At 50.5% G+C, this 13,459-nt stretch overlaps 1 protein-coding gene and 1 long non-coding RNA gene across 5 annotated transcripts; both read right to left on the bottom strand.

The window, feature by feature from the left end:
* Nucleotides 1-1,155: 1,155 nt before the first annotated feature.
* On the bottom strand, nt 1,156-2,952 carry LINC00028 (long intergenic non-protein coding RNA 28). Its single transcript, NR_024358.1, has 4 exons — nt 2,707-2,952; nt 1,535-1,698; nt 1,371-1,448; nt 1,156-1,254 (listed from the first exon to the last, which is right to left on the bottom strand). It is a non-coding gene; the product is annotated as a long intergenic non-protein coding RNA 28 (long non-coding RNA).
* Nucleotides 3,835-13,442, bottom strand: REM1 (RRAD and GEM like GTPase 1). 4 transcript variants are annotated; one of them, XM_005260404.1, is made up of 5 exons: nt 13,364-13,442; nt 11,945-12,503; nt 10,820-10,926; nt 6,242-6,443; nt 3,835-4,571 (listed from the first exon to the last, which is right to left on the bottom strand). In XM_005260404.1, exons 2-5 carry the CDS (start codon nt 12,282-12,284, stop codon nt 4,300-4,302), a joined length of 921 nt encoding a protein of 306 aa, XP_005260461.1. In that variant the 5' UTR covers nt 12,285-12,503; nt 13,364-13,442; the 3' UTR covers nt 3,835-4,299. The 4 variants fall into 4 exon arrangements, with proteins under 4 accessions (XP_005260461.1, XP_011527097.1, NP_054731.2 ...); XM_011528795.1 differs by having other exon boundaries at nt 10,820-10,920; NM_014012.6 differs by having other exon boundaries at nt 10,820-10,902.

The following is a 13,459-nucleotide window of genomic DNA, read 5'->3' as shown; positions in this document are numbered from 1 at the left end:
CTTCCCTTCGTGGCCAGGGCAGGGACTTGGAAGTTCCTGTACCCACCAGCTGTGATCCTCTCTACATTCTCTACCTTCCTTCAGAGCCCACATCCTTGTCCATGTTTGTTGAATGAAGAAAGGAGAGAGCGGGCCCTATGAGATGTGTATTTCCCATCTCCAAGGACAGGGAGCTCCAGCCTGAACCTGATTTCTCGGGGGTCCCTGAGCAGAAGCTTCATGCCTGGGGTGAGAAATTGGAACTTTCCACCAAGGCCAGTGATCCTCAGTATTCGAGCAGCCTGGCTGGGTGTCTTGGGATCCAGGTGGCCTTTGTCTCATCTGGACCAGGCCAGCACAGTTTGTGGCCCTCCCCCACAGCAAGAGGAGGGACTCTGAGGAGGCTTGGGGGCCCCTGGGGAGACATCCATCTTCCCAGAGCTTTATCATTTTTTCCATAACAGTATCCTCCCTTCAAGGTGGAAAGTCCCAGCTGGCAGCTGAGGATGCTGTCAATGCGCTTTTGTTCTCTATCTTGCCCCTACCTCAGGCAGCAGGGCTGGAGACAAAGACACCTTCCTTTTTATACCAGCCTGTTCCAGGCTTGCTGTACAAACAAATGGTGTAACACACCCCACCTCTTAATGCTGTGAGCTAGATCTCCCTGGTTTGAATTCTGGTTCTGCTACTTGCTAACTGTGCAATCTTGGTGGGGTACTGCACTTCTCTGTGCTACAAGTTTCTCCATCTGAAAACTGGGGTGGTGATAATAGGATCGGTTTTTCAGGATTTAATGATTAATGTATGAAAAACACTTAGGACAGCACCTGAAGCACCTGGTACATAGTAAGAGTGATCTAACTGCTTGCTGTTTATTACATAACTTTGGGGTTGGACAACTCGTCTCCTCTCTCTGAGTCTCAGTTTCCCTAATTGTACAACTAAGATGGCAGGTCCTGCCTGCCTCTCCACCATTGATCTGGCCCTTTCTTGCTGTGTAGCCTTGGAGAGATTCTTGGGTTTTCTTAGCCTCTGTGTCCTCATCTATTAAACAGTACCTATTAAGTAGAGGGTTGTGGTGGTGAGGACATGAGAAAATGTGTACCCAGCATGTAGCATGGGGCCCAACATTAACACAGAGAAACAGTTAAAACAAAGTTAGCTATTTTTTTTTTTGGTTTTGTTTTTATGGATGAGAAAGTACTTTTTAAACTATAATAGGCTGAGGAAGAGTGTGGTTTTCTCACATGCTTTCCATTCCTTATTCACAGACACCTAGAATCAGAGAGGACAGGATTGGAAGGGCCACTTTACAGGTAATGGATAATGAATTAATGGATATCTATTAATGGATAATGAATTAATTCATTCAACAAATATTTACTGAGCACCTATTATGAGCCAGGCACTGTTGTAGGTGCTGGGATCAGAGCAGCACTGAGGGCCCTTCCCTCAAGGAGCTTTCATTCCTGTGGGGCAGACAGACAAAAACATGTGAATACATATGCCAGGCAGAGACTCATAAGCAGGTCTTCACAGTCTCAGAATATCTTACCTTTAACAAATCCTGGTTTCTGCAAGGCCTTAAGATATGATAGCAGGGTGAGACCCAGTGGCTCATGCCTGAAATCTCAGCACCTTGGGATGTTGAGGTGGGAGCATCTCTTGAGCTCAGGAGTTTGAGACCATCATGGGCAACACAGCAAAACTTTGTCTCCTCTAAAAATTAAAAAAAAAAAAAATTAGCTGGGCATAATGGCATGTGCCTGTAGTCCCAGCTACTTGGGGTGCTGAGGTGGGAGGATGGCTTGAGCCTGGGAGGTGGAGGCTGCAGCGAGCTGTGATCGCGCCACTGCATTCCAGCCTGGGCAACAGAGTGAGACCCTGTTTTTTTTTTTTTTTTAAAAAAAGAAGATATGCTAGCGGGAGCCCACATTTATTGAATCTTCTTAGACACGGAAAGTGTCTTAAGCATTTTACACAACTTGAATCATTTAATCCTCACATCGACCCTAAAGGAAAGAATTGTCATGAATCCTGTTTTATAGATGGAGAAACTAAGGCATGGAGAGATGGAGGGGAGCGGGGTTTGAACACACACCCCCTGGTTCAGGGCAGTGCCCTCAATCACCCTGCCATCTTGCCGTGCTAGCTGCATAACTCTCCTTCCCTCAACACCTCCCACCTTCCCATCTTGGTCTGCACCAGTTCTTTCTTCCCTCCCCCTTTCCTCCCTTATCCCGTTCTCAAGTATTTCTTCCACATTCTGAGTAGCCTGGGGTAAGCTCTCTCTCTCTCTCTCTCTCTCTCTCTCTCTCTCTCTCTCTCTCTCTCTCTCTCTCTGTCTCTCTCTCTCTCGCCCTCAGTTTTCCTATCTGAGGATGGAGGATTGGACTGGATTATCTTCAGGTCCTTCCCTGACCACTCTAATTTTCAGCTCCTTATAAGTTTGTGATTCTTTTATTTGCTGATTTGTTTTCTAGTCTCCCAGCCCACCCTACTGTGAGCTACCGAGCAGTGAGCTCCCTCTTTCTGTTCACCACATCTCCCCAGAGCCTGGCACTGTGCCCGGCACTTAGTAGGCCCTCAATAAATACTTGTAGATGAAGAAAGGAGGGGATGAGGGCGATTGTACTCAGTTTTCTAAAGCCAGCTCCTGCACTGTCTCCCTGGCCCCTCTTCTTTTCTCAGCTCTTCCCCCTCCCCACTTCCCTCCCGCCCTCTCACCTCCCAGGGCCCACTCCGGCCCTCCATCCGGCCTGCATTTTTCCGGGTTTGATATCATTTTTTCCACTCTCCCGGCTGCTGCCGGCCGCCTCTGCCAACTTTCCACAGCTAGAGCCCCTCCCCCTGACCGCAGGCCGGAGACAGCTTGGGGTGGGGGAAGACCTTCCTTCTTTTCCCTTCCCCAGGCTGGGGTTGGGGTGTGGGAGTGAGTGCCATCCATCCCCGTTGGAAGGCTGGGGTGCGGGGATTCGCGGCTGGAGGACGCTGCTGGCTGGCTGGCGGGTGCTGCGGTCTTTCTCTGCACCGCGTCCCCCGGGGCTGGGGCGTCTGGGATAGTTGGGGGAAGGGATGTCCGGCGTCAGGGACACGATGGTCCAAACGGTTTGCGTCTTGTTTTCTTCTCAAAGCAGTGACACCCCTTCCCTTCGGGCTGGAAACTCCTGACCTGATCCCCAACACCCAGCCCTGACCCCAGCCAGGCTGGACGCCTCACCACCTCCTTCCTCCCGCACAGCCAAAGGGAGACCCAGGAGGAGGCTGGGCCCTGGGGTGTAATCCTCCCTGGCTGGGTGACTCTGGCATGCTCACCTCCCCTCTCTAGGCTTGTTTCTGCCTTCGGGAAATGAGTGAGTTGGATTAAACTGGGGTCCATCCCGGGGATTAATGCATTGAGTTTCATAGAGCTCCTGCCCCAACCTCCTTTAAATTGGATGCGAAATTATGTTTTTAAATTCGTTTTGCCAAGATTCTATAGGGTTTTGTATCATGTTTAAAGTGGACAATGGATATGTTGGTCACTAGAGTCTGACAAGCCTGGGCTGGAATCCCGGCAACTTCGCGTATAGCAGCTGTATGATCTTGGGTGAGCCTTCGGTGTCCTCTGCCTCAGTTTACTAACGAGCAAAATGGGGTTAATCGGAAACCCTTCTCCCAGGTGTTGGGAGGAATAATTGTTGTGACAGCTTAGTACACAGCTCCCAACAAACGCCAGCAATTCTATTGCCAGGATGAGTACTGAGGTCCTTCCAGACATGTGAATCTAGAACGTAAAACATGGGTTAATGAGAAAGTAGCTGGTCACGGAACTGTGGTTGTGATCCACTGTTGAGAGAAGGGCCTGAGCACAAAACTGGTCCAAGTACTTTATTGATGCGCCCTGACGCCCAGGCCAGCAGGCCAGACCAGTCTACAGTCAAGTGTAGATGGGAGGGCAGTAGGTGGAGACGCCTGGAAGAGCCGAGATGGAGAGGTCTGGGCATTCAGATGGGACATCCTTCTGGTCTGGTTTATTGTGAGGGTTTCTGAGGGTTGGCCAGAGCCCAGGGACAAGGAAGATTTTTTTACAAAAAGACACCCACCACGTAAAAAACTACTTTGTGCCCAGCTTGGGGCTTCGGCCCCATCGTCTGTCTGTCCATCGCTTTCCCGGGATCCCCCAGGCTTGGATCTGGGGGATGCTCAGGCCATCAGGGCAGCAGGCAAGCAAGACCCATGATGCAGACTCCAGGTAACGGCGCCTTTGCCCCGCAGTGGCGTCCCTGGAGCCCAGAATGCACCTCAGTGACCCGCCAACTCTCAGAAGGGCGGGGGGCTTCAGAGCACGGCCAGATTGTGGCAGGACTTGGAGCGGGCCTTGAGTGCCCGGCGGCGTGCGCTGCGGGCTGTCAGGCGTGCCAGGAAGCGACGAGCGCGCTGGGCTAGGCTGGCCGGCCGTCGGGGTGCTGGGGGTTCCTTGGCCGCACTGTCCCGGCGGCGCAAGCGCAGTTGGCGCACCACGCCCTCGAAGAGCTCGGCCACATTGTGCTGCAGCGTGGCGGATGTCTCGATGAATTTACAGTCGAACACCACAGCGCAGGCGCGGCCCTCTAAGGGGGCGGGGCCCGGCGAGGAGGGGTGGAGCCATAACGGAAGGCGGAGAAAAAGGTAGGAAGAGATGTGTTTAGTCTCGATTGGAAGCAATTTTTCCTGTGCTCATGCCTGGTGCTGCTGTCTGGGGACTCAGATAAATCAGACTGGTCTTTGAGGGAAGACAGAGAGGCTGGGGTCAGGGAGGGGTCAGATTATTGAATGCCAGGTAAAGGGTCTAATTTGCTGTGGATCGGAATTACCTGGAGGAGCTTGTTTAAATGCAGATTCCTGGACCCACCCTCAGAGTTTCTGATTCTGTAGGTTTGGGTTGAGGTCTGGAAATCTGTGCTTTAACAAAATCTCCTGGGGCTTATGTTGCAGTTTTTTTTTTTTTTTTTTTTGGATGTCTGTTCACAAAGCATAGGGTCTTCCACCTCCAGGAGCCACTGAGCCCGAGTTCTAGTCCTCAGGGGCTGGTGACTGTGAAACTAGCTTTTTCCTTTCTGGGTCTCAGTTTACACATTTTTTTAGATTTTACTCTGTGAGTAAGACCATTGAAAAATTGTTATGGGCCCTATCTGATATGTCAAACTTATTAAAATAGTCCCCATCCCATTGTAAATACAAGCCATATATGACGTTTAAAATTTTGGTTTGTAGTTACTGGTTGACAAAATATGTTTTGCAGACAATTAAAGCTTTGAGAAATTTGAATTTCTAATTTTTTTCACTGTATTTTGGAGCCAATAATGGTTCTTTTCAGTTCTCAAATGTAAGCCCTTGAAAAGCCTGTAGGCACTGGGCCTATCATCCTGGTGGATAAAGTGTCTCTGATTAAGGGGCTAGGGGAGCCATAGAGGAAATTATTATTTTTTTGAGACAGAGTCTCATTCTGTCACCCAGGCTGGAGTGCAGTGGCGTGGTCTTGGCTCACTGCAACCTCTGCCTCCTGGGTTTAAGTGATTCTCATGCATCAGCTGCCCAAGTAGCTGGGATTACTGGTGTGCACCACCATGCCTGGCTAATTTTTATATTTTTAGTAGAGATGGGGTTTCACCATGTTGGCCAGGTTGGTCTTGAACTCCTGATCTCAAGTGATCCACTTGCCTCAGTCTTCCAAAGTGCTGGGATTACAGGCGTGAGCCACTGGGCCTGGCCAGAATTTTTTTTTAAAAAAAGAGCTAAAATTATTTTTAATTTTTTTTGTAGAGAGAAGGTCTTGCTGTGTTGCCAAAGCTGGTCTCAAACTCCTGGGCTCAAGCAAGTCCTCCCACCTTGGCCTCCCAAAGTGCTAGGATTATAGTTGTGAGCCACCATGCCCCACCACATACAGGAATTTTTAAGAAGTGCAAATTCAACTCTGGTCTTGGAAAATTCTGGCAGGTGGCAAGGAGGAATAATTGAGAAGCAGGAGGACTGGCGAAGGTGGAGATGCCAGGATAGCACAGAGACTGTAGGCAGAGAGGGAAGGGAATGTGGAATTAATGGAGGTGGCCTGACAGGATCTGGGGACTGGTTTGGGGGTGATGAGTGGGAGGCAAGAATGGTTCCCAGCTTGCAGGCTTAGGCAAGTGGCTGCAGGGTAGGGGCAGCTTGGCAGGGACAGTCACTGAGATGAAGAGCGCTGGAGGAGCAGCCATGACAGTGGGGCCCAGGTGAAGAGGAGGTGGTGGGATGGAGGGCTCACCTTCCACAGAGACTTCTCGGCAGCGGGCCAAGTCTGCCTTGTTGCCCACGAGGATGATGGGCACATGGTCTGCCTGATGTGTGCGCCGCAGCTGGATGCGGAGCTCAGAGGCACTCTCAAAGCTGCCTCGGTCTGCGATGGAGTATACGATGACATAGGCACTGCCCCCCTGCAGGCATGACTCCTGGCTCCAGCTTTTATCCTGCAGGAGAGGGACCCAAGACCCATCCTCAGAGGGTATCTAGGCCCTGGCTGAGGAAGGTGGAGCTGGGATGGTCTAATGGGTGGGATGCAGCTTGAGGTTTATAGTTTGGACAGGTGTGGGGGACAACTTCTGCTATAATTCCCTGTGTCACCTTGGGAAAATTGGTGATTCTTTCTGAGCCTCAGTTTCTCTGCTTAAAAATTTAGGCTAATAACACTACCTCACAGAATTCTCTCACTCACTGATACTTTTGCAGGCTGGGTAGTGCAGGCAAAATTTACTTGGTTCCTGTTCCTGCTAAAGAGGGTTCTCTCTTGACCTGTTTAGCTCTTTTGTCTTGTTTCTGAGGAGGGTTTAGTCTTGCCATATGGTTCTTTATGCCTGGTGAAATCCAGAATGAAGAGAAAAAAGAGAGAAAAGTGAGGACAGGAGGCTGACTTTAGAGGGAAGGCATTTTTCAGGACAGTTTTGAAGATGGAGGTGAAGGAGCAACTGTAAAGTGTAAGTTCACAAGGGGATGAGACAGTCAAGGGGCACTTTAAGAAGTGGAGTCCTTTCAAGTTGTTTGACCAAGAAAAAGAAAGAACTGCAGTGCTTTTGATATTTTGGATGGTGATCTTTTGTTAGGGACAGCCCTCCAAGACTGGACTACCTGGGTAGTAACCTTATAAGTGTTGAGTAAGACACGGTTTCTGCCCTCCAAAAGCTCATGGTCTGGAAGAGAGCTTATGGAAATGGGAGTTATAGTGTAGTGTGAAAGTACCAGTAAGAGACATGTGTAAGTGGCTGGAGGAGTGGGGTGGGGAGGCCAGAACAACCCCACCTGGCAGAGTGTGCGAGGGCTTCACAGGGGACTGGCGAATGGGGTTAGGAAGGAGGGGGAGGCCAAGCAGGAGGGAAGAGATTCCAGACAAAGGGAACAGTCAGAGCTAAGGCCTGAAGTGAGAAAGACTGTGTGTGGTTGTGAGGTAGTGAAGAAGCCAGAAATTTTCTTTCATTTTTCTTTTTTTTGAGATGGAGTCCTACTCTGTCTCCCAGGCTGGAGTGCAGTGGCATGATCTTGGCTTACTGCAACCTCCACCTCCCAGGTTCAAGTGATTCTCCTGCCTCGGCTTCCTGAGTAGCTGGGATGACAGGCAGCTGCCACAACGCCCAGCTAATTTTTTGTGTTTTTGGTAGAGACGGGGTTTCACGATATTGGCCAGGCTGGTCTCAAACCCTGACCTCAGGTGATCCACCCACCTCGGCCTCCCAAAGTGCTGGGATTACAGGCATGAGCCACCGTGCTCGGCCAGAAGCCAGAAATTTTCTGATAACCAAATGGGAATTTGGTGATGAATAGGAAAGCATCAGATTCGTGGTCAATGTCATTGTCAAAGGGGGGTAAGTTCTCAACAGCCATACTGATCATTTCCCAGGCCAAATAACCTTAGGGTGAGTCAGACAGATGTGGGTTCTCAACCTTGAGTATGGACAGGTTTCTTCCTTTGGGTCTTAGTTTTCCCCATCTCTAGAATGAGAAAGTGAGTCTTGACCATTCATTCATTCATTGCACAAATATTTTTGGAGGATTTGCTGTATTTCAAGATCACAAAAGCCAGTTAGTGTATGGATTTGTTGGTATGAACTTATTGGGAGTGTGATTAAAAATATAGATTCTCAGCTGGGCATGGTGGCTTATGCTTGTAATCCCAGCACTTTGGGAGGCTGAGGTGGGCAGATCACCTGAGGTCAGGAGTTCGAGACCAGCCTGGCTAACGTGGTGAAACCCTGTCTCTACTAAAAATACAAAAATAGCTGGGCGTGGTGGTGGGTGCCTGTAGTCCCAGCTACTCGGGAGGCTGAGGCAGAAGAATAGCTTGAACCTGGGAGGCGGAGGTTACAGTGAGCTGAGATCACGACACTGCACTCCAGCCTAGGTGACAGGGCGAGACTCCATCTCAAAAAAAAGAAAAGAAATAAAAGAATAAGAAGCTCTAAAAGTGGGGCTGTAGTATCTATGTATGTATGTATGTATGTATGTATGTATGTATGTGTGTATGTATGTATCTGTCTATCTATCTATCTATCTATCTATCTATCTATCTATCTATCTTTATTGAGATGGAGTCTTGCTCTGTTGCCCAGGCTGAGGGTGAGGGCCAGGGTGAGGCCTGATAATTTGATTTTTATTATTTATTTATTTATTTTTTTTGAGACAGAGTTTTGCTCTTGTTGCCTAGGCTGGAGTGCAATGGCATGATCTCTGCTTACCGCAACCTCTGCCTCCCAGGTTCAAGTGATTCTCCCGCCTTAGCCTCCTGAGTAGCTGGGATTACAGGCATGCACCACCACACCTGGCTAATTTTGTATTTTTAGTAGAGATGGGGTTTCTCCATGTTGGTCAGGCTGGTCTCAAACTCCTGACCTCAGGTGATCTGCCCACCTCGGCCTCCCAAAATGCTGGGATTACAGACATGAGCCAACGCGCCCAGCCAATAATTTGATTTTTAATACACTCCAAGTGGTCCTGATGGTCAGCCAACCTGGTACACTAAGGTCCTAAGGCCCATCCAATTCTGTCAGATTCAGCCTCTCTGATATCAGAGTACCATGTAGCGCACAGACGGAACGGATGGATACTTTTTTCAATGATGCTGCTATTGCTTGGACCCTCTTTGAGACCTCTCTTCACAGTCACCGATCAGGGAAACTAGTTCAGTTTCCTAATTTTGCTGGTTGCAAAAATAAAAGGCCAGAAAAGAGGAGAAAATGTTCTCAAGGCGAAAGCAAGCTGGGTGTGGAGTTCCAGCTCCCGCCTTCTAGTCTAGTATCCTTTCTCCCCTGTCTCCTGAGTGGGACTCCCAGTCTGATCACCCATCTTAACTTGCTGGACACTGACTGCCCCATAGCATTCTCAGCTGCATATGAAAAGTAGACCCTCTAACCAGCCTGTGAGGTCCACGAAGCCAGAGGGCCTGTCTGCCTTATTCATCTCTGTGTCTCCAAGGTCCTGGTCCATGATAGACACCCAGCAAGTATTTCTGAATGAATGAATGAGCAAATGACTGAAACCTCAGCTGAAGGTTCAGAAGGTGATGCTCTTGAGGGGGAGGACAGTCATAAGACGAGGACTCTTATGCAGTCCTAATGCATAAGAATACAGCCTCGGCCGGGCATGGTGGCTCATGCCTGTAATCCCAGCACTTTGGAAGGCCGAGGCGGGTGGATCACCTGAGGTCAGGAGTTCAAGACTATCCTGACCAACATGATGAAACCCTGTCTCTACTAAAAATACAAAAATTAGCTGGGCATGGTGACAGGTGCCTGTAATCCTAGCTACTTGGGAGGCTGAGGCAGGAGAATTGCTTGAACCTGGGAGGCGGAGGTTGCAGTGAGCCGAGATGGCGCCACTGCGCTCCAGCCTGGGCAACAAGAGTGAAACTCTGTCTAAAAAAAAAAAAAAAAAAGAATAAGATCTACAAAGATTTTGTAGATCTGGGTTTGGATCTTACTTGCTATTTGAGAGCTTTGGACACATTATTATTATTATTTAACCGCTCTGGTCTTTGGTTTCCTCATCAGTAGAATGGGAATCAGAAGACTCACCATTTAGTTTTTGAGCAGCCTATCCCCTAGAGAGATGGGATCCCAGGTGATTTTAGATCCTTCTCTTTGCTTAGGTGTTTTTCCTCAGAGTTCTACAATGAGCATGTATTACCCATGTAGCAAAAGAAAAGAAAACACAAACCAGATAAAATCATAATAGGGACATATTCCTGCCTACTGCTGTCTTCCTGCCCTGATTTCCTTTTTCTCTAGCTACCAAGTCATAATTACTAAGAGTTATCATTTACAATTCTTCACCCCTATTCAGCAGTTTTTCATGCTTTAAACTGGGCTTACCTCTGAAATTGCATAAGAACTTTAAAAAACTAGCTGATGAGGAAGGCAGGAATGGTTAACCCATTTATCAGATGAGAAAACTGAAGCTCGGAGTGGCTAAGTCAATTGCACAAAACTACACAACTAGTAAGAAAAAGAAAGGGGGTTCAGCCTTAGGTATTTTGGGGCCAAATCCAGCGTTCCTTCTGTACAATGTGGGTGGGAGGGGTGGGAAGAGGGTGGAAATAATGATGGGGAGATCTGCAGGGGGAGAAGTACATTCTGAGATGGCTGCTAGGAGGGGATTGTGGAGTGAGAAAAGGGGTCAGGGTCATAAGGGTCTTCTGTTTGGGATTGGAAAGACTGCTTAGGAGCTGTGGGTTTTGGGGGAGGGTGCTGAGGATGGCCGTTGCTCACACCTGATCTGTAGTGTCCCCAGGAGGGGACAGGAAGGAGTCTAGTATTAGGCTCAGCACCCCTCTCCCCAAATTCTGCTTGCAGTGCCATACCAGTTTCTCGGCCTCCCAGGTGTCCACGACCACCAGTGTGGTGTCTTCTCCATCCACCGTGAGGGTCCTCTCATATACATCTTCTGCAACCGAGGGAAGAGCTGGATCTCAGGGAGGACGGGCAAGCCTGAGAGAGTGTGGTGTTCCCTGCCCCCCATTTCTGGTCATATCGCCCCCTCCACTTGTCCTCGGAAACGCTTATCACACTTGTTTGATGCCTGTCTCTCCTGGTAGGAGCCCATGTCTCCCCAGCTGCCATAGTACCTGGCACATAGTAGGTGCCAGAAAGATTTGATTGATTGAATGAAGGTGGGGTGGTGGGGTTAAAGTTGGGCTAGGAATTCTCCCAGGCCTGCTCTGTCTCTGATTTAGTGAGTGCTTCAGGCAGGTCATGTTATCCTCTCTTGACCTCAGTCTCCCTATCTGTAACACATATGTGTTCTCACTCGGAGAGAGAAGTCAAGACTAGAGAGGAGTCTGGCTAGATGTCCCTACCTTTTCTCTGCATTTAATCAACCCCCTTCCCCCACTCACCCTATGTCCTTTTGGCCAGTCCTTCAGGGGCCTACCTTCATCTCTTCTATCTTCCCTGTACCCCATCATCCTGGGGCCCCCGACACTCTCAGCTCACAGCAGTTCTTGGGAATAAAGCAACCCAGGGCCCAGAACTTGGGGTCTCGGAGTCTCCCTTCTGCAAAGGATCTTAGTTTTGCTGTAGATCATGGTGACCATGGATGGGTGTCTATGGGACTGGGAGAATCTAAGAGTCAGAGGAGTCAGGGAGGGGAGTTTCTGACCTTGGTGGAAGTCCACCATTTCTTAACATGGAATTCAGAATTGCCACCCGCATGACATGGAAATGAATCATATACTTCTCATTCATGGGAAGTTGGCAAAATTCTTGTTCTATTCAAGAATTTCCCTCCCCTTGACCATTGTGCAGGCTGTGCCCTGTACAACTTTGGAGGGCGGGGGGGCATCGTGCATGTCATAGTCTAAGTGAATGATGCCCCTTAGAGTTGAACAGTGCATGACTTGTACAACTGTTCTTGGCAGCCCTGTGTCCCTGGTGACAGGGCTTTCGCTCCTTTGGCCACATCCCAGCCCAGCCCATATGGCCCCTACCTCCCAGCTGTTCATGGAGGTCCCTCTCTTGCTTCCCTGCAAAGAGGCTGGCCAAGCTGGTCTTCCCCACTCCAGGATCTCCAAGTAGCACCACACGGTAGAGAGCCTCCCAGGAGCCTTCAGAGTCGCTGGATTCAGAAGACCAATCATCTGGGGCAGGTGAAGGTTTCTGGGTGGGAGGGTTGAGGGAGGCTGATTGGCCCAGCCGGGGATGCTGGGATTGAGTGGAAGGCACTGTGCTCAGGCGGCCAGGCTGGTGGCCCCGTGGGGACAGGGGCAGTGGGGTGCTGGCTCGCCGGTGCAGAGGGGTCTTTGCTTCCTGCTCGGTGTTGAGTGTCATCTTTGGTAGGGGGGGGTTTGCTTCTTCCTTCTTTCCTTCTGAAAGAAGGGGGAATTGGCTGTCAGCCAATTGCTTTGAGCTGCTTCTTTCTATAGTGTCCTGATGAGCTGCTGTATGGCTTCTTCCAGATCCCCCTCTTGTTCAGATGGGAGTAGGAGGTGCCTCAGCTTCTTGGGGCAGAAAGTCCCTAGGTTTTCTGGCCTCAGGCTCTGCATAAACCTGGATCCGGATGGAAGGAGTGAGTGTGCAGGCTGTGAACACACAGACATGCACACCCAGAGGCCATTCCCTTGTCTTAAGGATGATCTACTCCTGATGACAGACAGGCAGGTGGAGGGGCAGTAGTAAGGTGGGATGTCCTCACATGCACACTCCCCATTCCGTGTACACGGACCTGCCCTTGCCACAGAACATGAGGCCCTGGCTCTGAAAGACATCTGAATTGTCCCCCTCCTCCCCTTCCCCACCGCTCTCTTTCACAGCTTCTGGGTTGGGAGTGCAGTTTCAGGTCTCCCCCAAGGGTAGGGGCTACTTAACTTTCGATGCCCAATTTCACGGGGTCTGAGGAGGAAGAGGCAGGAGGGCGGGTTGGCACTCCAGAAGCGCGAGGGGGGTATGGGGGTAACCCGACTGTAACCCGAGTGCCCTAGTGCCATGGGAACCGCGTGTCTGACCCGCCCCCTGTGTGAAAAATTCAGGAGCGGCTGGCGCTACGGCCTCCAACTGCTTTTGGGGACGGGAGCTGCCGCCGGTCAGGCCCCAGGTTAGGTGACAGGACAGGGTCCTGGCAGGGGACGGGGAGGGCAGACCACAGGGCCCGGGAACGCTGTGCCATTCCTGGAGTCTGGGTCCGAGCTTTCTCAGCCGGCATCCCGGGTGTGAATCCCCCATCCTGGGGTTGGAGGGGTCTTTGTCCAGGGCTATCCAGCCCTCCGGGTCCCAGGTCTGAAGACCCTCACCCTAGGGACGCGGTTTCGAAGCCCCCCTATTCCTGCCAACGCTGCCGAATCCCCCTTCAATCGCCTGGCGAACTCTGCTCCAACTTGAGCAAGTTGGCGGCGCGTAGCGCAGGGCTTTACCTCGGCGTGGGAGGGGTCCAGGGTCCCTCGCAGCTCCAGCGGCTGGATGCTCCAGGCTGTACCACCCGCCTCAGTGAGCAGCCCCTCAGGCCAGTT

Source organism: Homo sapiens, chromosome 20 (assembly GCF_000001405.40).
Source record: "Homo sapiens chromosome 20, GRCh38.p14 Primary Assembly".
Classification (NCBI taxonomy): domain Eukaryota; kingdom Metazoa; phylum Chordata; class Mammalia; order Primates; family Hominidae; genus Homo; species Homo sapiens.
Note: the sequence above shows the minus strand (reverse complement) of the source record. Positions and strands in the feature narration are given on the sequence as shown.